We start from the raw sequence: 27,611 nt of genomic DNA, 5'->3' as shown, positions 1-27,611 counted from the left end.
ATGACCTGTGACATAGTCCTGGGAGGTCCTGAGAACATGTGCCCAAGGTGATTGGGGTACAGCTTGATTTTTATCCAAGTTACAGGCAGAAGTTACAGGCAAAGACATAAATTGATATATGTAAGGTATACATTGGTGGGGACAGGGTAAGGTGGATTAAAAGATTTTCCTGATTGGCAATTGGCTGAAAAAGTTAAACTTTGCCTAAAGAGTTAAAAGTCAGCAGAAGAAAAGCTTGGGGTTAAGATAAGGTGGGTTGTGAAAGCCAAGGTTCATGTAACGTAGATGAAGCCTTCAAGAGAATAGATGGTAAATGTCTCTAAGGTGTCAGACTCTTAGTTAAATCTCCTCTAAATCAGGAAAAGGCCTAGAAAGGGAAGGGAATCTCTGCAGGACATAAATTTTCCCAACAAGAGATGGCTTTGCAGGGCCATTCCAAACTATGTCAAAAATATACTTGGGGGTAAGATACTTTGATTTCCTTAGGGCCTGTTATCTCCCATGTGATGTTAGACCAGTCAGGTTGGAGTTGGTATCTTAATTGCTGAGAGTCTGTTCTGTCAGTCTTAGGAGTCTGTTTTAATGTTAATGCTGGTCAGTTGTGTCTAAGCTCCAAAAGGGAGAGGCTAGGATGAGGCATGGCCCACGCCCCACTTCGTGTCATGGCCTGAACTCAGTTTTCAGTTTTTTTGAAATCCCTTTGGCCAAGGGGGGCCCATTCAGGCAGTTGGGGAGCTTAGAATTTTATTTTTGGTTTACAGCACTCACTCAGGAATCGGGTTTTCCTAGGGCTGGGGTTGGCTTCCTCCTGGGGGCTGGTGGTGGAGTCAGGCCGCTTATCAGCCCTGGGACCTCAGGAACTTCCTTGACCTGGGTCAGCTGCCATTTCCTTATCTGTCAGGTGGAGACAATAAAACAGCACTCCTAGGGTCCTTAGGAGGAACATAAATTAGGCAATATATGTAAAGAGAACTGAGCCCATTTAACTTTTCTTGGTTTTGTTAACTTCTTTGTGCGGTGATTGAGAGCTGAGACAGACATCACCTTTCCCTTTCCCCTGATGCTCAGCCAGGAGTTGGCTAGAGATTTGTTTACGTGTGAATGTGCCTGCCTGGCCCAGGTCTGTCCAAGTTGCTGTGGTGGGGCCAAGCCAGTCAGCAGCCCCCTCAGGCTCAGGCTAAAGTCCCCACCCCACCCGCCCCACCCCACCCCACCCCACCCCACCCCACCCACTTCCAGGAGGAAGCTGGCAGCCCTGAGGGATTTAACCACTCACTGACTTCAGCTCTTCCTGCATACTCATTTAGGTGATGACATTCTTGGTCTGTAGGTTTAGGTGGCCACATCCACTGGGATGACAGATGCCAGGTACAACATATCAGGTACAGGTACATATCAGGCCCCGTGACAGGCATTTTACACATTCTCCATCTGAGAGGTCTGAGCATGCCTACCTGGTTAGTGGCAAACTGCGATGAGACCTCATGGTCATCCCGGTTAGACACGTCCCTGTCTGTGCTGCTCAAGCCAGACCCTCGAAGCCCAAATGAGGAGCAGAAGTGTAGCAAGGGAGCCCTCCCCTTTTGAAGCCGTTCCAGTGGTACTTTTTACTGCTGAGCTGGCAGATGTTGGACTGGGACAGGAGTGAGGGGTGGGGGCAGGGTGTTGCAGGACCCAGCCCCTGAATGTGATGTGTGAGCCTGTGAGCCCCTGCTTCCTGGTCCCATTGGGTTCCTGCCACCTTCAGCTGCAGCCTCCCCCTCGAACCTGCAGCTCCGTATCTGAATCAGCCTGTCGTTCCCTGCCTACAGGTTTCAATCCTACAGGGCCTTGGCTTTCTGGGCAGCATTTGATGTGAAGCGCCCTTACCACCTACTCCTTGGGGTGGACCCACCCCTGGCACCCAGGACTCCTTGCCTCCCAACGACTAAGCCCCCTGGGCTTTCCTTCCTTGTTTCTTTCCTTCAAATCTATTATCAGTTTTTACTTTTGTGTTCTGCAAAGGCCTTTTTGGTTGCAGTTTGAGTAAGAGAGGCTGACCTCCTGCTGCTTGCTGGGAATGGACTCTGGCTGGGGGAAAGTTCCCTGCCCATTCATCTGGCTGCCATCTGTCTCTTCAGGTGTCATGTGATTCTCTGAGGGAGCAGCTGCGTGAGTGGAGATGCTTTCAGTGGTGGAGAATGGACTGGACCCCCAGGCTGCCATCCCGGTAGGTGGGTGAGGGAGGATCAAGGGCGGGGAAGGGCTGCAGGGGACAGTTGTATCATCGGCTTGGCTCACTTCCTTGGGCACTGTCCTGCAAGAGAGACCAGGTTGAGAAAAAGTTACAGCACAAGCAGGCTCTGAGGAGACCCTGTCTTTTCTAGATCACCTTATTGGTGATAAGATGGAGATTTATGAAAAGCAGTGGGAATTTAAGATCAGTAACCTGAAGACCAAGGATTTCCATTCAGCCCTTCAGCCCTCTGCCCTTAGGCCATGATTTGGTCACAGTCTGGCCAAAGCACTGAATGGGTGGGAAACAGATATTCCCAGGCACTGGTTTGTTGTTTCAGTAATGGGGGTAAATTGGTAACTTACATGTATCTGAACACTTACCATTTTCTAGGATATTCTAAATGTAATTATTTGTGAGCAGTTCACTGGAGCCCCCTAGGACCTTTTCTTGGACAGCCCTTTGCACCCTCCTGGGCTATCTTGGGTACTCCAGATAGAGCTCTCTGTTCTCTTGGAGAGGCAGGAAGTCAGGTAGCTTTGGGGCTGGTCCCTTAGCAGCATCCTGAGATGGCTTTCGGGGAGAAGCCAGGATTTCCTTTCCTCCCCACTGCTGCTTCCCAGCTCAGAGAACTCTGCTTGAAAGAAACTGTAGCTCTCAGAGACGTGCCTTTCCCCGTCCTGGCCACAGGAGAGTCCAGCTCCACCTGTTTCCCAGCTGGCTTTCATGCAGAGGCTCTTCCCTCCCCTCTGCACCCCCACTCTCCCACCCCCAGTGCCTGCCGAATCCCACCCCAGGACCCTCCAGAGCTAGGGCAGAAGCCTGGCCAACCCAGCCTTCTAACAACAGCTGCACAAACTGACTCCATGAGGGTATGCCTTTCTTGAGGGTATGCCTTATTTCTCCCTGTATACCCTAACCCAACACCTAGTAGGTGCTCAATTGAACGAAGTATGTATGTACTTTTTAAATATAATATACAAATAACATCTTGCTTTTAAAAGAACATTTAAAATTAGACTATTTCAAGATTAAAAACTTTTGAGCTTCAAAGGATACTACCAAGAAAATGAAAAGACAACCCACAGAATGGGAGAAAATATTTGCAAATCAAATATCTGATAAGGGTCTAGTATCCAGAATGTATAAAGAACACTTATAACTCAACAATAAAAAGACAAATAATCCAGTTATAAAATGGGTAAAGGATTTAAATAGACCCTTCTCCAAAGAAGATACACACATGGCCAATAAAGATGCTCATTATCATTAGACATCAGGAAAATGCACATCGAAACCACAGTGAGATACTACTTCACACCCCCTAGGATGGCTGTAATAAAAAAGGCAATAACTAGTGCTGGCAAAAATGTGGAGAGATTGGAACTCATATATTGCTGGTGGGAATGTAAAATAGTGCAGCCACTTTGGCACACAGTTTGGCAGTTCCTTGATAAGTTAAACATAGGGTTATGTGTACAGTTCCACTCCTAGATATATACCCAAGAGAACTAGAAATATAAGTCCACTCAAAAACTTGTACATGGATGTTCATAGCAGCATTATTGATAATAGCAAAAGAGTAGAAACAACCCAAATGTCTATTAACTGATGAATGGATGAATAAAATGTGGTATATCTAGGCAGCGGAATATTTTCTGGCAATAAAAAGGGATGAAGTCCTGATACATGCTACAACATGATGGAAAATATGCTAAGTGAAATAAGTCAGATTCAAAGGGTCATATGCTGTATTGATATCTATTCATGTGAGATGTACAAAATATGCAAAGCCACAGAAACAGAAAATAGATTAGTGACTGCATTCACTTCGTATTCCCCTTTCTCCCAGCCCCTGGCAATCACTAATATACAGTATTTCTTTTTGGGGTGATGAAAATCGTTTTTTTTGTTTGTTTTTTTGTTTTTTTGTTTTTTTGTTTTTTTGAGACGGAGTCTCCCTCTGCTGCCCAGGCTGGAGTGCAGTGGCACAATCTTGACTCACTACAAACTCCACCTCCCAGGTTCAAGTGATTCTCATGCCTCTGCCTCCCAAGTAGCTGGGATTATGGGTGTGCACCACCATGCCCGGCTAATTTTTGTATTTTTGGTAGAGATGGGGGTTTCACCATGTTGGCCAGGCTGGTCTCGAACTCCTGACCTCAGGTGATCCACTCGTCTTGGCCTCCCGAAGTGCTGGGATTATAGGCGTGAGCCACTGTGCCCGGCCAGAAAATCTTCTAAAATTAGGTAGTGGTGATGGTTGCACAATTGTGTGAATATACTAGAAACAATTGAACTGTATACTTTAAATGGGTGTATTTTATGGTATATGAATTATATCTCATTAAAACCGTTATATTTTTTCAAATTTAACTTTTCAAAGAATGTTAACATTTAGTGTTTTGGCTGAAATCAAAATAAAAGATTAAAATATGTAGCCATAATCCTATCACCCAACAATTCAAACCAGTTTTTCTGTAATCCCTTCCAGTCCTTTTCCAATCACTTATGTGATTTTCACATGCTTATAATTATGCTCAATTTTTACTCTATATTTCCAAAAGACTCTATGTACATTTTGTGGTGTATCATTTAACAAACATTTATTGAGTATTTCTATGTGCCAGGCACAGTGCCAAGTGTTGACACAAGGATGAATAAAACACTAGTCTTAGTGCCACACTCAGCTCTTTTATATATATGTTTTTTGTTTTGTTTTGTTTTGTTTTGTTTTGTTTTTCTGAGATGGAGTCTCACTCTGCCACCCAGGCTGGAATGCAGTGGCACGATTTTGGCTCAGTACAACCTCTGCCTCCTGGGTTTAAGTGATTCTCCTGCCTCAGCCTCCTAAGTAGCTGGGATTACAGGCACTCACCACCACACCTGGCTATTTTTTTTTTTTTTTTTTTTGAGGCGGAGTCTCGCTCTGTCGCCCAGGCTGGAGTGCAGTGGTGCGATCTTGGCTCACTGGAAACTCCGCCTCCTGAGTTCACGCCATTCTCCTGCCTCAGCCTCCCGCGTAGCTGGGACTACAGGCGCTGCCACCACGCCCAGCTATTTTTTTGCATTTTTAGTAGAGATGGGGTTTCAGCCTGTTATCCAGGATGGTCTCGATCTTCTGACCTCGTGATCCGCCCACCTCGGCCTCCCAAAGTGCTGGGGTTACAGGCGTGAGCCACCGTGCCCGGCCCACACCTGGCTAATTTTTGCATTTTTAGTAGAGACAGGGTTTCATCATGTTTGCCAGGCTGATCTCAAACTCCTAACCTCAAGTGATCCGCCTGCCTTGGCCTCCCAAAGTGTTGGGATTACAGGTGTGAGCCACCACACCCAGCCTCTTTTTAGAATTTATCTAGTAGGTTTTCTGGTTTTCACCAGAAACCACTTCCCAAAAAAAAAAAGAAAAAAAAAGGTAGTCCTGTCCTCAGGAGAATCCTCATAGTACTATAAATCAGAAAGTATTATTTCCACTTTAACAGATAAGGAAATTGAGGCTCAAAGCGGTTAAGTGGAATGTCTGAGGAGGCCCATCTGGTTACTGGCAGCTAGGACTGAGCCTAGTCCTCTGGCTTCCAGGCCTAGGATCTTTCTTTTTTTGAGACAAGGTCTTGCTATGTTGCCCAGGCTGGAGTACAGTGGTGTGATCACAGCTCACTGCAGCCTTGAACTCCTGGACTCAAGCAGTCCTCCTGCCTCTGACCTCCCAAAGTTCTGGGATTACAGGTTTGAGCCACCACGCCCAGCCTAGGATCTTTCTTAAAGTAAACCATGCTCCTGTTCTCCTCATGTTTTTATTGTTCTAAAGCAGTGTGGGTGTTTATTGTTTGTTTGTTTTTGCCTCTTGGCTTATTGATTCTCTACAGAAGCTTGTCCATGTAAAAAAGGTGGGAAGCCCCACCCTTGTCCTAGATGGATTTACCCAAGCTCCCATCACTGCAGCTATGATGGGGCCAATATTTAAACACAAGATTATATGGCTCTAAGTTCACTTAAGTTTGGTCTAAAAAACAAAAAGTATCTATACTAAAGGACATATGAAACAAACAATAACAGTAATTATCTCTGGGTAGTGTGTGTGATTTTCCTTTTCTTCTCTATGCTTTATCTTTCTTTGCTGTAGTTAACAATGTGCTAATTTTGCAGAAGGAATCTACAGACACACACATAGATGTGTGTGCATGTGGTTGCACACGTATTTGGCACCAGCTAAAGGATTACACTCTAGGGACTCTCCATAGGATTTTCCGCTAAAGGCCTGTGTTCTGTGTGGTGCTGCCTAGGTCATCAAGAAGAAGCTGGTGGGATCCGTGAAGGCCTTGCAGAAGCAGTACGTGTCCCTGGACACGGTGGTCACTAGTGAAGACGGAGATGCCAACACCATGTGCAGCGCCCTGGAGGCCGTATTTATCCATGGCCTGCACGCCAAGCACATCCGAGCTGAGGCCGGAGGAAAAAGGAAGAAAAGTGCCCACCAGAAGCCTCTGCCCCAGCCTGTCTTCTGGCCCCTCCTGAAAGCTGTCACCCACAAGTGAGATTTAGCTGGAGAGGTTTTGCTTTGCGGAGGAGCAGCAGACTATGGGACACTTGGCTTTTCCTCCCCAGCTGTTCAGGAAGCCAACAGAGGTGCCCTGTGTTCTAGCATAGAGAGAGGGTGAGGTAGGGGTTGAAAGTGTCTTCTAGAAAGGCTTATCTCTAGACCAAGCTTCCCAGCCAGTGTGCCAGCAGATCTTGAGACCCTCAGCACTCAGGCAAGAGCCTGTGGCTGCTTTGAGACTGGTCACAAAAAGCAGGTGAGACTGGCCACCTTTAGCAGGAACAGCCTTTTTTGCCACACTGGGGCAGAGTTACATAGTTACAACAGAGGTTGTGTGGCCTGCAAAGCCTGAAGAATATACTATCTGGCCCTTTACAGAAGGGCTGACCCTGCCTTGGATTTGCTGACCCTGCCTTAGATTATTCAAACATCCGAATTGTAAATCTTTTTTTTTTTTTTTGGGATGGAGTTTCGCTCTGTCACTCAGGCTGGAGTGCAATGGCGCGATCTCGGTTCACTGGCACCTCTGCTTCCCAGGTTCAAGCAATTCTCCTGCCTCAGCCTCCTGAGTAACTGGGACAACAGGCGCGCACCATCACGCCCAGCTAATTTTTGTATTTTTAGTAGAGAGGGGTTTTGCTATGTTGGTCAGGCTGCTCTCAAACTCCTGACCTTGTGATCTGCCTACCTCCGCCTCCCAAAGTGCTGGGATTATATAAAGAGTGGAATCAGGAAAAGCATATGAATATTCACCCTGAGACACTTATCTCTTTGGCCCCTAACTGTCTGGGCTTTTGAGCAAGTAGCTGGCACTGTGCCTCTGAGGACTACTAAATGCCACCTTCAGCCCAAAAGAAGCCTTGTCAGTCTCTAATCTTCCTTTCCATGCAGATTGCCACTGCCTTGTCTCACGTTCTTCTTTCCTGGGTGACACTGGCTTTCTATTTGTCCCCCTTATCTCACTCTGTCTTTCCTTGAGTCCATCATCTGGTCAACATTTACTGAGCTGAAGCTCCCTGGAGCTTACTCACTGAGCCTAGTAGAGTGCGGTCTACATTCCCATGGAGGAGATAAACCTGCGCTAGGGACTGTGGTAGCTCAGAGGGGCATGTACATCAGACGGAGGCATTCTGGGACTGAGTTTGGTACACCTGGGGTCTGATCTCCTTATGCAGAACATCTACCCTGCAGTCTGCATGACTGTGGTCAAGTCACTTTTCTAAACAAAAATCTGTAGCCTACAGGCTCCCAGATGCTAGCCTGGAGACTGATTCACTAGGTTGGGGTCCCAGAACTTGTATCCTGCTCAAGTTCCCCAGGGGGTTCTGGTGCACAGCTGGGTGTGGGGCCATTACCCCGTGTTGCCTTATTGATTTGATATTTAAGACCCTCTCTTTCCTGGCCTTGCAACCAAACCACCCACTTTTCCGCCACATGCTGTAATTGGAGCGCTCCCCAATCCTCTTACAGGGTTGTTGATTTCCTACACTTTATGCCTTTTTCCATCAGTCCCTTGTGCCTGAGGGCAGGGACCATGTCTTTACCCTGCATCTTCATTGCTCCAAGGACTTTGCACTTAAGGAGCTCTGACAGCATGCCTTAGATGAGCAGATGTGTCAGGGGCCCCGTGGTAGTTGGAATGAACATGGAAATTATCTTTCACAATTCCAATCTCAAAATATATATATATATATAATGTATAAATATATATAATTTATATTTATATATTTATTATATATAAATATAAATATATATATATATATTGCCTAGGCTGGAGTGCAGTGGTCCAATCTCCGCTCACTGTGACCTTTGCTTCCCAGGCTCAAGCTATCCTTCCACCTCAACCTCCCGAGTAGCTGGGTAGCTGGGACTACACGTGCAAGCCACCACATCTGGCTATGTTGTTGTTGTAGAGACAGAGTTTCGTCCTGTTGCCCAGGCTGGTCACGAATTCCTGAGCTCAAGTGATCCACCTGCCTTGGCCTCCCAAAGTGCTGGGATTACAGGTGTGAGCCACCACATCTGGCCTAAAACACTATTACCCAATATTTTTTCATGCCTGTATCTATTTGCAGTAGTTATTCCTGGTTCCTGCTAACCAGTGGATAAAAGCACATCTCTGTGATTTGGGGTAGTTTCTTGAAACACGTCTGTTCTCCCTTCCCAGACACATCATCTCAGAGTTGGAGCACCTGACGTTTGTCAACACGGATGTGGGCCGCTGCCGGGCATGGCTGCGGCTGGCCCTGAACGATGGCCTGATGGAGTGCTACCTGAAGCTGCTGCTGCAGGAGCAGGCCCGCTTGCATGAGTACTACCAGCCCACCGCCCTGCTCCGGGATGCTGAGGAGGGCGAGTTCCTCCTTAGCTTCCTGCAGGGCCTCACGTCCTTGTCCTTCGAACTCTCCTACAAGTCTGCCATCTTAAATGAGTGGACGCTCACCCCATTGGCCCTGTCTGGGCTTTGCCCGCTTTCTGAGCTGGACCCTCTCTCTACCTCTGGTGCAGAACTACAGCGGAAGGAATCTCTGGATTCCATTTCCCATTCTTCAGGCTCTGAAGACATCGAAGTCCATCACTCGGGCCATAAGATACGGAGGAACCAGAAGCTGACTGCCTCCTCCCTCAGCCTGGACACGGCCAGTTCATCCCAGCTGTCCTGCAGCCTAAACTCTGATAGCTGCTTACTCCAAGAGAATGGCTCCAAGAGTCCAGACCATTGCGAGGAGCCCATGTCCTGTGACTCAGACCTGGGCACAGCAAATGCTGAGGACTCAGACCGGTCTCTGCAAGAGTGAGTACGCTGCCCCCACTCCTTCCCATCTTCTCTCTTCCCTCCTTTCTTTCCTCTCCTCCTCCCTTTCTTCCCATAGCATGTGATTGTCTGTTACTGAACTCTATTAGTAATTAAAGAAAGCCAAGGGAGTCATCGACTTCTCCAGGGACTGGAGTAGCTGGGAACTGTAGCAGGCAATACAGGCATAGTGGAGAAAGTGGACTTAGAACAGCTTAGAGCTGGTTTGGGCTCCAGCTCTGCCCCGGTGACTTTTAGCAAGTTACTTGGCCGGGTGCGGTGGCTCATGCCTGAAATCCCAGCACTTGGGAGGCTGATACAGGAGGATTGCTTGAGCCCAGCAGTTCGAGGCCAGCCTGGGCAATGTAGCAAGATCCTGCCTCTAAATTAAAAATAAATAAATAAATAAAACAAAAACTGAAAACAAACAATAACAACAAAAAAACAAGATACTTAGTCTCTACAAGGCACAGTGTAAAATATTGTTGTCTTCATCTAGAAGGAAGGAAACTAATAGGTCAGAGTACATTTAAAACGTCCAACAAATAGATGAAACATAACGCATAAGAGTGTGACTTCACAGAATACCTCCTGGGGGACACAGGACCTGAGTGCTGCATGCAGGAGGTGGTGGACAGGTGGGGACAGACAGATGTGTGGAAGAGTATGTGGGGCAGATGAACTAGGCTGAAGAGAGAACTGGGCAGAGCCTTCTTCACACAGCCTTTTAAACATTTTTTTGCAGCTGGGCACGGTGGCTCACGCCTGTAATCCCAGCACCTTGGGAGGCCAAGGCAGGTGGATCACAAGGTCAGGAGATTGAGACCATCCTGACTAACATGGTGAAACCCCGTCTCTACTAAAAATACAAAAAATTAGCTGGGCATGGTGGCGGGCGCCTTGTAGTCCCAGCTACATGGGCGGCTGAGGCAGGAGAATGGCATGAACCCGGGAGGTGGAGCTTGCAGTGAGCTGAGACCGCACCACTGCACTCCAGCCTGGGTGACAGAGTAAGACTCTGTCTCAAAAAAAAAAAATAAATAAATAAATAAAATAAAAAATTTGCATAGATAATCTTTTTATGGTTAAAAAAAATCTAAAACATATACAGTGAAAGCCTTTCCCATTCCTGTTCTCCCTCTACCCTGTTCTTTCCTCCCACCCCTAAAACCATAATAATTTCCTGTATATTCTTCCAAATTTCTAAATGCATCTACAACAAATACCAGTATAAAGATTTTCAGCTGGGCGCAGTGGCTCACGCCTGTAATCCCAGCACTTTGGGAGGCCGAGGCGGGCGGATCACAAAGGCAAGAGATCGAGACCTTTCTGGCTAACACGGTGAAACCCCATCTCTACTAAAAATACAAAAAATTAGCCGGGCGTGGTGGCGGGCGCCTGAAGTCCCAGCTACTCAGGAGGCTGAGGCAGGAGAATGGTGTGGACCCAGGAGGCGGAGCTTGCAGTGAGCCGAGATCGTGCCACTGCACTCCAGCCTGGGTGACAGAGTGAGACTCTGTCCCAAAAAAAAAAAAATAAAAGATTTTTAAAATTTCTTCCTTATTTATTACTTTCTCTCCTACAAAGGCAGTATATACACACTGTTCTATATCTTGTTTTGGAGAAGATCTTTTCATTTCAGAGCTTCTTCATTCTTTTATTTTTATTTTTTATAGAGACGGGGGTCTCACTGTGTTGCCCAGGCTGGTCTTGAACTCCTGGGCTCAAGAGATCTTCCTGCCTCAGGCTCCCAAATTGCTGGGGATTACAGGCGTGAGCCACTGCGCCCAGCCTCATTCTTTTTTTTTCTATTGCATATTGTTCTAGTGTATGAATGTACCTTAGTTTACTTAATCAGCCCAGTATTTAATGGGTGCTGGGGCCTGTGTTTTCATAAATAACCTTGTGTATGTGGTCTTTTAGTTCTGCGTAGCTATCTCTGTTCCATAAACTCCCAGAAGCAAAATTGCCGAGCAAAAGGATAGACTAATATGGAATGTTCACAGATTATTGCCCATTTACACTCCACCAGGAATGTCCTTGTTTCTTAGCCTTGCCAACTGATGGTATTAGTGAACTTTTGGATATTTGCTCATCTGATAGGTGGAAAATGGGAACTTCTTATTAAAAGCCTCCTTCAGCTGGATCCATGCTGCATCAGCGGAAAAGAAGGTCCCACGTGTTTGGGACCTTCTTTCCACTCGCCCTGTGCCCTCGCCTTGGTTCAGGTCCCTCCAGGGTTCTCACCCACCATGGAAAGAGCACCAGCGTTGGGTGGTGTTACGGACTGGGCTTGGAGCCGACCTAGTTTCGAGTCCTGTTCCACCACTTACAAGCCCAGGAAGGTCAGGCACATTGTTTGTTAGTCAAACAATATAGGAGATTGTCTCGTAGTCCCAGAAATGGCTTCTGAGCATATTAGGTGGAGTTTTCAAATGTTAAATGGAGGAATTTAGATAGAATACATTGGGGAGGAACAGTGTCTGCCTCCTGTGACCACTGGGACCATGGCATGACAGGCCTGCAGTGTGACCCAGGCACAGGGCATGACCTAGGTTCACTCACCTGTCTTAGCCCTTCCTGTGTGTCTGCCTCCTCTGCAGACCAGCCAGCCATCCCTTGTCATATGTCTCGCCTTTATCTCATGTGTCTTGTGATGGAAAATTCCAGCTTAAGGTCACTGAATCAGTGACCATCCTCTCTGTGCAGGAAGTGTTGTCCCGGCTATTATGGGGAAACTGGAGGGTCAAGGGTCAGGATGTATAGACAAATGCCGGACAGTGGTGTGAGTAACTGGCAAATGTAAGACATACAGATGCACAAACACACAGCCAGCACCAGCATTCATAGAGCTGGGCCTTGAAGTTAGTCCTTGAGCATCCACAGAGACCAGCATTTCTTGAAGTGTATATTTCAAGGGTAAAATGTTCTCACCGACATTTAGAGTTCATCAAAGTTGTTACATTATTTAAATATTTGTAACTTTAAATTAGACATAAATTCCTTGTGCTTATCATTACACATATAAAATCAAAACATCCACAAATCAAACATAAAGAAAAGCATAAAAGACACAACATTCAAAATGAAATTTATTAATATAAAGCGGTTCTGTTTGGCAGAAACCAAATTGCAGTTGGCCTAGTGAATTGACTGTCCTAAATAGCTTCTTCCGTGTAGATTGGATCTGTATTATAATCATCACTGAGTGGCATAGGTATAGTCTGGAGGGTTTAAGTACTTAGATTTAAGTACTTAGAATGGTCCCTGGCACAGAGGCATCAATAGTGCTCAATTGATGGTATTGTTGTATTTTATTTTATTCAATATTTTATTTATTTTTTGAAACGGAGTCTCGCTCTGTCCCCCAGGCTGGAGTGCAGTGGCATGATCTCGGCTCACTGCAACCTCCGCCTCCTGGGTTCATGCGATTCTCCTGCCTCAGCCTCCCGAGTAGCTGGGATTATAGGGGCCTGCCACCACACCCAGCTAATTTTTGTACTTGTTGTAGAGAAAGGGTTTCACTATGTTGGCCAGGTGAACTCCTGACCTCAGGTGATCCGCCTGGCTCAGCCTCTCAAAGTGCTGGGATTACAGGCATGAGCCACCATGCCCAGCCTGGGTAGACATGTTTTTAATTCTCTTAGTTACATACCTAGGGGTGGAATTGCTGGGTCATATGTAACTCTATGTTTAACTTCTTGAGGAACTACCAAATTGTTTTCTGCAGTAGTTGCATCATTTTACATCCCCCACCCACTAATATATACAAGCTTTAATTTCTCTACATCTTTTCCCACCCTTATTATTTTCTGTCTTTTTTATTACAATCAACCCAGTGGGTATAAAGTGGTATTTCATTGTAGTTTTGATTTGCATTTCTCTGATGACTGATGCTGTTGAGTGTCTTTTCATGTGCTTATCAAACATTTGGATATCTTCTTTGGAGAAATGTCTGTTCAGATCGTTTGCCCATTTAAACATTTAGTTATTTGTCTTTTTATTGTTGATTTGTAAGTGTTCTGTATATATTCTGGATAATAGGCCCTTCTGTATAATTTAAAAATATTTCCCCCCATTCTTTGAATTGTCTTTTTACTGTCTTGATAGTATCCTTTAAAACACAAACGTTTTGGCCAGGCACAGTGGCTCACTCCTGTAATCCCATCACTTTGTGAGGCCAAAGCAGGCGGATCACGAGGTCAGGAGATCGAGACCATCCTGGTTAAAACGGTGAAACTCCATCTCTACTAAAAAAAAAACAATACAAAAAATTAGCTGGGCGTTGTGGCGGGCGTCTGTAGTCCTAGCTAATCGGGAGTCTGAGGCAGGAGAATGGCATGAACCCGGGAGGCGGAGCTTGCAGTGAGCCGAGATGGCGCCACTGCACTCCAGCCTGGGCGACAGAGTGAGACTCAGTCTCAAATAAAAAAAAAAAAAACCACACAAACGTTTTTTATTTTTGTTTTTTGAAACAGAGTTTCACTTTGTTGCCCAGGCTGGAGTGCAGTGGTGTGATCTCGGCTCACTGCAGCCTCCCCGTCCCGGGTTCAAGTGATTCTCCTGCCTTAGCCCCCCAAGTAGCTGGGATTACAGGTGCGCACCACCACGCCCAACTAATTTTTGTATTTTTATTAGAAACAGGGTTTCACTATGTTGGCCAGGCTGATCTCGAACTCCTGGCCTCAGGTGATCCACCCGCCTTGGCCTCCAAAGTGCTGGGATTACAATTTATTTTTTATTGCTTTCTTATGCTGTAGATCTCACATCTAAGAAACCATTGCCTAATCCAAAGACATGAAGTTTATACCTCTCTTTCCTTCTAAGAGTTTTACAGTTTTAGCTCTTACCTTTAGGTCTTTAATCCACTTTGAGTTAATTTTTGTATACAATGTGAGATAGCAGTCCAGCTTTTTTCTTTTGCATGTGATTATCCACTTATCTCAGCACAATTGTTGAAAAGACTATTCCCTCCCCATTAAAATGTGTTGGTGTCTATGTTGAAAATCAGTTACTCTTTTTTTTTTTGAGATGGAGTCTCGCTCTTTCACCCAGGCTGGATTGCAGTGGCACAATCTCGGCTCACTGCAACCTCCACCTTCCGGGTTCAAGCAATTCTCTGCCTCAGCCTCCTGAGTAGCTGGGATTACAGGCGCCTGCCACCAAGCCTGGCTAATTTTTGTATTTTTAGTAGAGACGGGGTTTTACCATCTTGGCCATGCTAGTCTTGAACTCCTGATCTTGTGGTTCTACCCACCTCAGCCTCCCAAAGTGCTGGGATTGCAGATGTGAGCCACCACACCCGGCCAAAATCAGTTACTTATACATGTATGGATTGGCCACCTATTCTTGACCATAATGTCTTGAAATGTTGTTTGGGGTTAAGATGGTGCAGAGCTCACTGGAAAGACAATCAGGTAAGCAACTTGAATTCTAAAATCCTCATTTCCCTAAGCCCAAATTAAGCAGAGCTTCATGTATCTTCTGGACCCAGTCCAAGCCATCAGGGCAGATGCAGGGAGGCTTTGGGGCCTTAGACAGCCTGTGGCCACCTGAACCAGGCTTTGCCCATGACATGCTCCACTGGTTTTATAAGCAGAAGAGATAGCAAACGGGTTTATTTTCAAAATGGAGCTTGGATCCTCAGAAGAAGCCTCAGGAGAGGGAGGAGCAGTTGCTAGTCAGTGCACATTCCAGAGGGCCCAGGGCATGTTTCTGTGCAGTGTGTATGTGTGAGTGTGGTGTGCATGCACGTGTACCAAGGCAGTAACATTTGCTCCCTGTGGCCCCAGGAAGCAGCACGGAGGAGACAGGGAGTGGCAGTCCCACCATAGAGAGTGAGCAGGGGCACATCTCGTGTGTACTCATATCCACCCTCACACACCTGGTATACATTGAGCTCCAGCAGCAGTTTCTGGGGATGTGAAGCTTCTCTGTCTCCACATCCAGTCCAGCTCTGAGGGGACCAGCCCTTGCACCTCCCCTTGCTGTCCCAGTGCCTGCACAGGAACAAAGTATGACCTTGCTTAGGAAACCTGCCTAGCCCTCGCTTCTCCTAGTCCCTGCCCCAGGGCAGAGTCCTGGCATCTCTACTCCCTGTGCTGTGGAGGAGGAGGCTCTGCTGCATACCATGTTTGGGGAAACGATTGCCCACACAACCATGTGTTTGGCTGAGCAAGCTCTCCAGGCCCACAGCTAGCCTGCTCAGAATGCCAGTAAGTCCTCATTCATACCAAGTCCTCTTCCTCTGCTGGGGAGCTTTTTCGCCTGAGATCCCAGGCTCCACAAATCACCTGTCCACGCAGTCTGCCTAAATCCTGGCCAGGAAAAACGTGGTGGGAGTGTCAGAGGAGGACTGCGTGAGGGGGAGTGCAGTGGATCATTTAGAGGGTGTGGGTTGTTTTAAATCATAAAACAGCAGTTTTGCATTCTTCCCTCTGCCCCAGTTGCCTTGGGCATTATCGCAGACAACCTGTCACACAGGTTTCTTTGTTTAAAACTTCTAGGGTATTGTTGGAATTCAGCAAAGCCCAGGTAAACTCTGTGCCAACCAACGGACTGAGCCAAGAAACAGAGATCCCCACACCACAGGCCTCGCTCTCCCTCCATGGCCTCAACACCAGCACATACCTGCACTGTGAGGCACCTGCAGAGCCCCTTCCTGCCCAGGCAGCCTCTGGAACTCAAGATGGTGTCCACGTGCAGGAGCCGCGTCCCCAGGCGCCCAGCCCCCTGGACTTACAGCAGCCTGTAGAGAGCACCTCAGGCCAGCAGCCTTCTAGTACTGTCAGCGAGACAGCCAGAGAAGTGGGCCAAGGGAATGGCCTGCAGAAGGCCCAGGCTCATGACGGAGCTGGTCTGAAGCTGGTAGTTTCCTCACCCACCAGTCCGGTGAGTGGTGCAAGCCGTTCAGGGGGCAGTCTTGGGAAATGTCAGCTGACACAGGGTTTCCCCAGCTAGTGACCCTGAGTGGTCTCTGCCTTTTCCCTGTTAGCCTTCCTCTCCCTGCATAGTGATAGTGTTAATAGCATCATGATGATGGGGCTCATGTTTCTTGGCATGTGAGCTGTAGATATAAGCCCGGCTGTTTCTTGGCATGTGAGCTGTAGATATAAGCCCGGCACTGTGCTGATCACTTCCCGTGTGTATCTCCTGTCATTTTCACGTCACTTTGTGAAGGTTGTTCTTGTCTGACCGCAGTCTCAGCTCTTTAACCACTACCACTCACCAGCATAAGGCCTTGGGCAAGTCACTTCAGCTCTCTGAACCTTCATTTCCTCCTTAGTACTTGTTATTATTAAATTAATATTTTTTGATTTTTGGTTTTTGGTATTTTTTTCAGATGGAGTCTTGCTCTGTTGCCCAGGCTGGAGTGCAGTGGCACAATCTCTGCTCACTGCCACCTTCGCCTCCTGGGTTCAAGCAATTCTCCTGCCTCAGCCTCCTGAGTAGCTGGGATTACAGGTGCCCACCTCCATGTCTGGCTAAGTTTTGTGTTTTTAGTAGAGATGGGGTTTCATCATGTTGGCCAGGCTGGTCTCGATCTTCTTGCCTGGGCCTCCTGAAGTGCTGGGATTACAGGCATGAGCTGGTGCACTCAGCCTATTAAATTAATGTTTTTAGAAAATACTAGGCCTTGAGCATACTCACTTTGCAACATGACCCAGGTTTTAGAGCCGTGCTGTCCAATATGGCAGCTACAAGCCACGTGTGGCTGTTGAACACTTAAAATGTGGCAAGTCCAAATGGAGATGTGCCATGTGAAATAAGCGCTGGATTTCAATAACTTAGTATGATAAAAGAATAGAAAATCTCATTTTTATGGATTACAAGTTAAAATGAAAATATTTGGGGGCTGGGTGTGGTGGCTCACACCTGTAACCCCAGCGCTTTGGGAGACCAAGAGGGAGGACTGCTTGAGCCCAGGAGTTGGAGACCAACCTGGGTAACAAAGTGAGACCCCATCTGTACAAAAAATACAAAAATTAGCTGGGCATGGTGGTGTGTGGCTGTACATATAGCATGAGGCTGTAGTTAATTCTTTTCCATTGTTCTGCAGTATTCCATTGTAAAAATATATTGCAACCTATTACCCATTCTCCTGTTAATGGACATTTGGGTTGTTTCCAGGTTTTGACTATTATGAAGAAAGCTGTAGTGAACATTCTCATACATGCTTTTGGAGAACCTCGGTGCTTATTTCTGTGGGTATATATACCTGGGAATGGAATTGCTAGGTCCTTGGGTGGCTTATGTTTACCTTTAATAGATACCACCACCAAACAGTTTTCTAAAGTGTTTGTGCTAATTTATACTCATATTGGCAACAAATGAGCATTCTAGTTGCTCTTTATCCTGGCCAATGGTGTTACCAATCTTTTTAATTTTAGCCACTCTGGTAGATGTGTAGTGGTTTTAATTTTCATATCCTTGATGACTAAATGATGATACCTTTTCATTTGCTTATTGGCCAGTCAATCCTCTTTTATAGAATGTCTGTCCAAGTTGTCATTCCGGTCTTAAATTGAGTTGTATGTGTATGTGTTGATTTGTAGGAACTCTTTATATATTACAGATATAAGTCTTTTATTGGACAAAAATAGTATATTTATCAAGTATCTTTTTCTAGTCTATAAGGCTTGACTTTTAAACCTCCTAATAGTATTTTTATTGAACAGAGGTTCTTTTAATGATGTGCAGTTTATCAGTCTTTTTGTTTATGGTTTGCTTGGTTTTTGTCCCATTTAAGAGATATTCATCTCCCCCAAGGATCTGAAGGTATTTGCCTATATTATCTTCTAGAAGCTTTAGTGATTTATCTTTCAAAATTAGGTTTATGATCTTTCTGGGATTAATTTTTGTGTGTGGTGTTAGAAGTCAAACCTCATATTTTTCCATATGGATATCTGATTGGCCTCACTGTTTCTTGAATATGACCATGTAAATCACAAAACTGTCAGTGTGGGTCAGAGTCTTCGAATTTGCTATCCTGAAGATGCTTCAGTACATCCTGAAGATTTGCTTCCTGAAAATGAATGCTCTAGGACCCTGAAGGTTGTGACTGTGCACCTGCCAACTCAAGCTGAAGGCTGAAGAGGAAAGCTCTGCAGCCCCTTCCTCAAGCTGGAGGCAGAGTGACGTCTGCTGGGGATGCAGGCTGTGCGCCCCACAGGACTCCAGAGTGGCACTAAGCATGTTGAGTTCACTCCTGCCCATGGTCTAGCTTCTGCTTTGCAGGCTCAGGCATCTTATCTTGCCAGGGCCTCAAAGCTGGTGGGACAGAATAGCATCTTTGCTCACTAAGCTCTGACCCACCGGCCTCCTTGCAGCTCTATAGTCCAAGCGAACTCCTTCCAACATCAGGCTTCTTTTAAAAAAAAAAATTTTTTTGAGGCAGAGTCTCACTCTGTCACCCAGGCTGAAGTACAGTGGTGCAATCTCAGCTCACTGAAACCTCCGCCTCCTAAGTTCAACTGATTCTCATGCCTCAGCCTCCCAAGTAGCTGGGATTACAGATGCCTACCACCATGCCCAGCTAATTTTTGTATTTTTACAAAATTATGGGGTTTCACCATGTTGACCAGGCTGGTCTCAAACTCCTGGCCTCAAGTGATCTGCCCACTTTGGCCTCCCAAAGTGCTGGGATTACAGGCATGAGCCACCGTGCCCGGCCCAGCCTCAGGGTTTTACATTTGCTGTTCCTTCTTTCCCGACTCACTTCATTGTTGTCTCAGCCTTCCCTGACCGGACCCCCGTAGCTCAAAAGCACCATCCCCAGTGACTCTCTGTCCCATTCATCTGCTTGACTTTGCTTATAACACTCATCACTATGTGCAATTACAGTATATTATCTCTTTGTCTCCTTGTTTATTTTCTGTCTTCCTTACTAGAATATTAGCTCTATGATACAGAGCACCAGGCCTGTTCACTTCTGTATTGTCAGCACCAAGCACTGTACCTGGGAGAAAGTAGGCATGGATGAATAGTTCTTGAACTCCCAAGAGACTCTTGAGATGCCAATTCCTAAGTTTATTTTGTTCCCCCATCCTAGCTATAAGGCTGTTTGGAATGGTTCTTTTTCTTGGTATCTCCAGCAAGTACCTGGCCCAGAATCATACAAGATGTGTGAATAAATCATGACCATCCCAATGTCTTTAATATAAAGTAACAAAGATAAGTCAAGGGGACTGGAAGGAAGGAGACAAATGTGAAACTTAAGATTATGGACGTTCAGGCGAGGCGTGATAGCTCACGCCTCTAATCCTAGCAATTTGGGAGGCCAAAGTGGGTCATCGAAGTGTACCATCGAGTGGACAGGGTGGTCAGGTTGGTGTGATCATGGCAGGCTCTGCCTCTGTGCCAGCTACAGGGGACTCTGATTGCTGGAAGGTTGCTTAGGGAATGTGACATCTAAGCGCTTGGTGCTGAATCCGATGTGAGAATCTCGGATCCTGCCCCCGTCCTGTGTCTGTCTCACAGGGAAGTTGTGGATTCATTCACTGCTTATTCAGTAGGTAGTCACCAGGTGCCACTGAATAGCCTGCCAGCTCATGTGGGCCTGCTGGGCTCCTGGCCTGTGGACAGTGCCAGGCTGTGCCCTGCATGTCTGCCCCTGTGGTCCTCATCTTTCTGTACTTCTATCAGTTAGCCACGTGCTTTTTATTTGATGTTATTTTGGGGGAGATGTTGGGGTCGCTGTCAAGTTTTATAGTGTAGAGACCCATTCAGTCTTTCTTTTAAAAACATTTATTTTTAATTCATTGAACCCAAAGCACCTACTATAAGCCAAGCACCATGTTAGGTCCTAGGGGTAGAGTGATACAACAGGACAGACAAAGGCCCTTTGGGGACAGACATTAAATTAGACAAATGATTATCCACATCATAATTACACTTGTGCTAAGCACTGGGAAGGAGAGGTGCAGGGAGTAGGGGCCTCTCAAGGGTGATGCATGTCTGGGATCTGGGGGTTGTGAGTTCGTTTCAGTTTAACTCCCAAAAGGCAGTGTGAGTTCTAGGACTTGCTCTTAATCACTGCCCCCATGGACCACCTGCCCATGGTATGTGGTTCCCCTTCCACAGTTATGAGTACAGGCAGTTCCTTTGCCTGGCATAATGAGGACTGGCTGGACAAAGTCTCATCCTTCTGAAAGTGTCCCAGAGACCTTCGTCTCACTCCTCAGCCACACTCCTCTTGGGGATTCAGCTGTTGTATATGGTGTCATGAGCCCTTTAGTAACGCAAGGTGGCATTTCTCTGTCTTGGGTCGCTGGTGGCAGTTGCAGCTCTGGTATAGATCCTTCGTCGATGATGGTTTCTCTCCACTGTTAAAGGGCGGGGTGCTGGCCAGACATGGACCCTGAGTGAGCAGGTTGTCGGAAGGTGGTGGGAAAAAAGGAGAGAAGGGGGCCGGGTGCAGTGGCTCACGCCTGTAATCCCAGCACTTTGGGAGGCTGAGGCAGGTGGATCACCTGAAGTCGGGAGTTTGAGACCAGCCTGACCAATATGGTGAAACCCCGTCTGTACTAAAAATACAAAAATTAGCCGGGCATGATGGCGTGAGCCTGTTATCCCAGCTACTCAGGAGGCTGAGGTAGGAGAATCACTTGAAACTGGGAGGCAAATGTTGCAGTGAGCCGAGATCACACCACTGTGATCCAGCCTGGGCAACAGAGTAAGACTCCATCTCTAAAAGAAAAAAAGGAGAGAAGAGAGAAACAGTGGTGTTCATGCATGCACTCTCTCTCACACCCTCTCTCTGCTCCCCACCTGCCTGGGGCCAGGGGCACACAGCCTCAGAGCTCTGTCCAGGCCCATGTGCAGAAGCTCCGAGGAACCTGCATTTCCACTGTTTTTTCCCTGTTGCTTAAGAGAGTAAAAGATGTTCCCTAGTTTCATTTCCTGGCAGCTGTGCTCAATGGACTGTGTCTGAACATTTCCTAGTAGTCTTTTTCCTCAAAGGAGAGAGAAGTCCTCCCCAGTGAATGTCCATATACTTTTTTTTTTTTTTTTTTGACACAGACTCTTGTGCTGTTGCCCAGGTGGGAGTGCAATAGCTCCATCCATCTCGGCTCACTGCAACCTCTGCCTCCAAGGCTCAAGCAATTCTTGTGCCTCAGCCTCCCGAGTAGCTGAGATTACAGGCATGCACCACCATGCCCAGCTAATTTTTGTACTTTTAGTAGAGATGGGGTTTCTCCATGTTGGCCAGGCTGGTCTCAAACTTCTGGCCTCAAGCAATTTTCCTGCCTCGGCCTCCCAAAGTGCTGGGATTACAGGCATGATCCATCATGCCCATTCTGAATGTCCATAATCTTAAAATTTACATTTGTCTCCTTCCTTCCAGTCCACTTGACCCACCTTTGTTATTTTATGTTAAAGACATTGTGATGGTCATGATTTATTCCCTCATCTTGTATGACTCGGGCAGGCACTTGCTGGAGATATCAAGAAAACCATTCCAAACAGCCTTATAAATGCTAGAATGAGGGTAAGCACAGAATATTGTGGGATCCCAGTAGGGGCCCTAACCCAGCTAGGGGGTGGGAAGGGGTGGAGGCTGGGGAAGGGTGAGAGAAGCTTCCAGGCAGAGGCGATGGATGTCTCCTGAGCTGAGTCTTCAGGGACAGTGCCCTCTCCCACCAGGCGCTGGAGATCACACAACTTCCCAGGTATATGTGAGGCTGCCAGGACAGCCACATGGTTGCCAGGGAGCTGTTTCTCCCACCCATTTTCCTCAGGGGGGTCCCCCAGTTCTTGATGACCTAGGCAGGCTTTGCTCAGAATCTAGTGTTGTGGATGGTCCCCAGTGGCTGCCCTGACTGACACATCATCTGTCACTGGCAGGGGGGAAGCACCTGCCAATTCTGAAGGCCCCGTGGAGGAGTCTCTGGGGACCTAGTTCTGTGAGCTACCCCTCAAGTTGCCTGAGTCAGAACTTGCCACCCTTGGCTTGAGGAGTCGTGTAGCATCTGAATGGATCCAACTGTCCAAACCAACCCTTCCCTGTTTACAAAGCAGGGAGTGCAGTCTTGATTCAGGGACTGGAAATAGCGATGTCAGGGTGAGGTTAGTGGCACTTAACAAAACAGTGGGGCTGGTCCCACTGCTTGTGTGACTCATTTCCTCTGTGTACACAGCCACTTAGAGTGGCCCAGCCAGCTTCCTTGCCTCTGCCCTTCCATGTTGAGGCACAGAATGCCAGGGAGGACTTGAAATACTGGAGAAAAGGAACCAGAATCCACTCCCACAAGCCCACTCACCCCAGATGCTCCCCGCAACCCCATCTTCCCCAGCCAGTGAGCAGCTTCAGATTCAAAAGAGAACAACGAAGGGAAGGGGCAGGGCCTGGCTGCCTGGGGTTGCAGGGGCCTGCACAGAAGTGGGCGGCAGAGACAGAGGCGGCCAATGAGGACCCTGAGGCCTGCTCGCCAGGACTCCCTCATCTCAAACCCAAAAGCAGGACTGAGAAACCCTACATGCTGGGACAGCTGAATACCCACATGCAAAATAATAACACCCCTTCCTTACACCTTACACAAAAACTAACTCAAAATGGACCAGAAACCTAAATGTAAGAGCTAAAACTATACAGCTCTTGGCAGAAAACACAGAAGTAAATCTGTGATACTGACTTAGGCAATGGTTTTTTAAGATGCAACACCAGAAGCACAAAAACAACAACAAAAATAGATAAACTAGACTTTATCAAAACTAACAACTTATGTGCTCCAGAGGGCACACCATCCGGAAAATGAAAAGACACCTCACAGAATGGGAGAAATTATTTGCAAATCGTAAATCTGATAAGGGTCTCGTATTCAGAATATATAAAGCACCTTACAACTTGAATTAGTCCCTAGGGCCACCATAACAAAGTACCATACACAGGGTGGTTTAAAACAACAGACATTGGCTGGGCGCGGTCGCTCATGCCTGCAATCCCAGCACTTTGGGAGGCCGAGGCGGGTGGATCATGAGGTCAGGAGATCGAGACCATCCTGGCTAACATGGTGAAACACCGTCTCTACTAAAAATACAAAACAAAATTAGCCAGGCGTGGTGGCAGGCACCTGTAGTCCCAGCTACTCAGGAGGCTGAGGCAGGAGAATGGCGTGAACCCGGGAAGCGGAGCTTGCAGTGAGCCAGGATTGTGCCACTGCACTCCAGCCTGGGCGACAGAGCAAGACTCTGTCTCAACAACAATAACAACAACAACAAAACAAAAAACAAAAACAGACATTGCTGGGCAGGTGGCTCATGCCTGTGACCTCAGCACTTTGGGAGGCAAGGGTGGGCGGATCACTTGAGTCCAGGAGTGCAAGACCAGCCTGGCCAACATGGTGAAACCCCATCTCTACTAAAAATATAAAAAATTTGCTGGGCATGCTGGTGCATGCCTGTAGTCTCAGCTATTCAGTGGGGCTAAAGCAGGAGGATTGCTTGAGCCTGGGCAGTCAAGGCTGCAATGAGCCCTGATTGCGCCACTGTACTCCAGTCTGGGCAAAGAGCGAGACCCTGCCTCAAAACAAAACAAAACAAAATAGGCCAGGCACAGTGGCTCACGCCTGTAATCCCAGCACTTTGGAAGGCTGAGGCAAGTGGGTCACCTGAGGTCAGGAGTTCAAGACCAGCCTGGCCGACAAGGTTTTGTCTCTACTAGAAATACAAAAATTAGCCGGGCATGGTGGCAAGCATCTGTAACCCCAGCTACTCGGGAGGCCGAGGCAGCAGAATTGCTTGAACCTGGGAGGCGGGGGTTGCAGTGAGCTGAGATTGCACCATTGCACTCCAGCCTGGGTGACAGAGTGAGGTTCTGTCTCAAAAACAAAACAAAACTGGTATTTATTCTCTGATCGTTCTGGAGGCTCCTTCTGGAGAATCTAAGGAAGAATCTGTTCCCGCCTTTCTCCTGGGTGGCGTTGCAGGTGCTCGTTTGCATTCCTTGGCTTGTAGACATGTCACTCCTGTCTCCCCTCTGCTGTCACACATGTTCTACTGTCATACAAGTTCTTCCTCTGTATCTCTGTCTTCACTTGGTGTTCTCCTCTCTTTGTGTATCTTTTCTCCTCCTCTTATAAGGACATCAGTCATACTGGATGAACAGCCCATTCTACTCCAACATGACCTCATCTTAACTAATTACTTCTGCAAAGACTCTATTTCCAAAAAAGGTCACATTCTGAGGTACTGGGGGGTAGGGTTTCAACATGTCCTTTTGTGGGGGGGTCACAATTCAACCCACAACACAACTCAGCAACAAAAAGACAGCCCCATTTTAAGACAGACAATGGATTTCAGTAGATTCCAATGGATTTGGATAGATTTCCCAAGGAGAGAAATTGGAACCCTCGTACATTGCTGGTGGGAATATAAAATGGTGCGGCCACTTTGGAAAACAGCTTGGTAGTTCCTCAAGAAGGGAAACATAGAGTTACACATGACCCAGCAAGTCTACTCCTAAGTATATACCCAAGACAATGAAACATGTCTACACAAAAACTTGTGTATAAGTGATCATAGCAGCACTATTCATAATTGACAAAAAGTAGAAACAACCCAAATGTCCATCAGCCGAGGAGTGGATAAGCCAAATGTGGTGGATCGAGACAATGGAATATTATTTGGCAATAAAAAGGAATGAACACTTAAACATGCTTATATAACATGGATGCACCTGGAAAACCTCCCACTAAGAGAAAGAAGCAGGCACAAAAGGTCACGTGTCGTATGGTTCCATCTATATGAGATGTCCAGAACAGGCAGGTGTGTAGGGACTGAAAGTAGGTAAGTAGGTGCCTAGAGCTGAGAGTGGCCAGGGGAAATGGGGATGACGGCTAATGGGTACGGGGTTTCCTTTTTGGGTGAGGAAAATTTGCTAAACTTAGATGGTGGTGACGATTGCCCAACTCTGACTAAGCCAAAATGTTTGAATTGGACACTTTATTTATTTATTTTTTTAGAGATGGGGTCTCATTCTGTTGCCTAGGCTGCAACCAGGCTGGAGGGCAGTGGCGTGATCACGGCTCACTGCAGCCTTGACCTCCCTGGCTCAAGCGATTCTCCCGCTTCAGCCTCCTCAGTAGCTGAGACTACAGGTGTGTGCCATCACACCCAGCTAGTTATTTTTTGTAGAGATGGGTTCTCACTGTGTTGCCCAGGTTGGTCTCAAACTCCTGGGCTCAGGTGATCCTCTCACCTCAGCCTCCCAAAGTGCTGGGATTACAGGTGTGAGCCACCATGGCTGGCCGAATTACATACTTTAAGTGGGTTAATTTTATGATATAAGAGCCATATCTAGATAAAGACTTAAAAAAAAAAAAAACTTCAGGCTGGGCACAGTGACTCACACCTGTAATCCCAACACTTTGGGAGGCCGAGGTGGGTGGCTCACCTGAAGTCAGGAGTTCTAGACCAGCCTGGCCAACATGGTGAAACCCCGCCTCTACTAAAAATACAAAAATTAGCTGGGCATGGTGGTGGGCGCCTGTAATCCCAGCTACTCAGGAGACTGGGGCAGGAGAATCGCTTGAACCCAGGAGTCAGAGGTTGCAGTGAGCCGAGGTTGCGCGATTGCACTCCAGCCTGGGCAACAGAGCGAGACTCCGTCTCAAAACAAAAAAACTTTAAAACAAACAACTGTTGTCTTCTTTCCCAACAGAAAAACAAGAGCTGGATCTCAGAGGATGACTTCTACCGGCCTTCCCGGGAGCAACCCCTGGAGAGTGCTTCAGACCACCCAATAGCTTCTTACAGGGGGACTCCAGGGTCAAGGCCTGGTCTCCACAGGCATTTTTCTCAAGAACCAAGAAAAAACTGCTCCCTGGGGGCGTTAGACCAAGCGTGTGTACCTTCCCCAGGAAGAAGGCAAGCCCAGGCAGCCCCATCCCAGGGGCATAAGAGCTTCCGGGTGGTACACCGGAGACAGATGGGTAGGTTACCAGGAGGGTCCCGGGTGGGTCCCATCTGCAGGGACCAGGCCTTTCAGAAGGCAGCTGTGAAGTTCTGTTTTCCATTGCTAAAGGGGTAGTGTGTTCCCACAAGTGTTATAAAACCTCATTCCAGAATGCCATCATAATCATGTTCATTCAGGGAAGCATTTCAGGAAAAGTAGTATATTGTCTCAAAACTGCCTACAGAGGACAAAAATACTGTTTCACCAGTCAAATAGGAAAATATTTTCCCTGAAAACTATGCAATTTATGATTATAGAAAACTCTTGATTCCACCTGTAGCTCAGAGCACATCCGGCCCCATGAAGCCCCAGGTGTTTTAAATGGTCCTTCCAAACGTGTTTACCCTCAGTAGTTGGTTTATGTAACAGCTCTGGGTGGCTTGATCAAATCTGCTATTTGTTTTGTTTGTTTGTTTGTTTTGAGATGGAGTCTCCCTTTGTTGCCCAGGCTGGAGTGCAGTGGCATGATCTCTGCTCACTGCAACCTCAGCCTCCTGGGTTCAAGCAATTCTCCTGTCTCAGCCTCCCAAATAGCTGGGATTACAGGTACCTGCCACCACACCTGGCTAATTTTTTTTTTTTTTTGAGGTGGAGTTTCCCTTTTGTTGCCCAGGCTGGAGTGCAATCATGTGATCTCAGCTCACCACAACCTCCGCCTCCCGTGTTCAAGCAATTCTTCTGCTTTAGCCACCCGAGTAGTTGGGATTACAGGCATGAGCCACCATGCCTGGCTCATTTTGTATTAGTAGAGACGGGGTTTCTCGAAATTGGTTAGGCTGGTCTCCAACTCCCGACCTCCGGTGATCCACCCCGCCTCGGCCTCCTAAAGTGCTGGGATTACAGGCATGAGCCACTGCGCCTGGCCAATTTTTGCATTTTTAATAAAGATGGTGTTTTGCTATGTTGGCCAGGCTGGAGGATCTGCTATTTGTTTAATGTCCTCCAGTGCTTCTTTTTTTTTTTTTTTTTTTTTCTGAGGCAGAGTCTTGCTCTGTCACCCAGGCTGGAGTACAGTGGTATAATCTCAGCTCACTGCAGCCTTTGCCTCCCAGCTCAAGTGCCTCAGTCTCTCCAGGAGCTGGGATTACAGACATGCACTGCCACACCCAGG

At 47.1% G+C, this 27,611-nt stretch overlaps 1 protein-coding gene, 1 non-coding gene and 1 pseudogene across 14 annotated transcripts in view; all 3 read left to right on the top strand.

Annotated features, from left to right (window-relative positions):
• The window catches only part of PLEKHM1 (pleckstrin homology and RUN domain containing M1), a 56,513-nt gene that overhangs the window by 6,076 nt on the left and 22,826 nt on the right, over positions 1-27,611 (top strand). For 5 of the 13 annotated variants that reach the window (XM_047437188.1, NM_014798.3, XM_017025451.2 and 2 more), the window contains exons 2-6: positions 2,121-2,209; positions 6,499-6,746; positions 8,920-9,546; positions 16,053-16,437; positions 26,207-26,477. In XM_047437188.1, the coding sequence (XP_047293144.1) occupies positions 2,162-2,209; positions 6,499-6,746; positions 8,920-9,546; positions 16,053-16,437; positions 26,207-26,477 (1,579 nt within the window). In that variant the 5' untranslated portion in view covers positions 2,121-2,161. The other 8 variants (NR_027774.2, XM_017025452.2, XM_011525525.1 and 5 more) reach the window with 5 other exon arrangements.
• LOC124904113 (uncharacterized) lies at positions 5,558-5,604 on the top strand (annotated as a pseudogene).
• On the top strand, positions 9,211-9,283 carry MIR4315-1 (microRNA 4315-1). Its single transcript, NR_036199.1, has one exon. It is a non-coding gene; the product is annotated as a microRNA 4315-1 (primary transcript).

Source organism: Homo sapiens, chromosome 17 (assembly GCF_000001405.40).
Source record: "Homo sapiens chromosome 17, GRCh38.p14 Primary Assembly".
NCBI classification, from domain to species: domain Eukaryota; kingdom Metazoa; phylum Chordata; class Mammalia; order Primates; family Hominidae; genus Homo; species Homo sapiens.
Note: the sequence above shows the minus strand (reverse complement) of the source record. Positions and strands in the feature narration are given on the sequence as shown.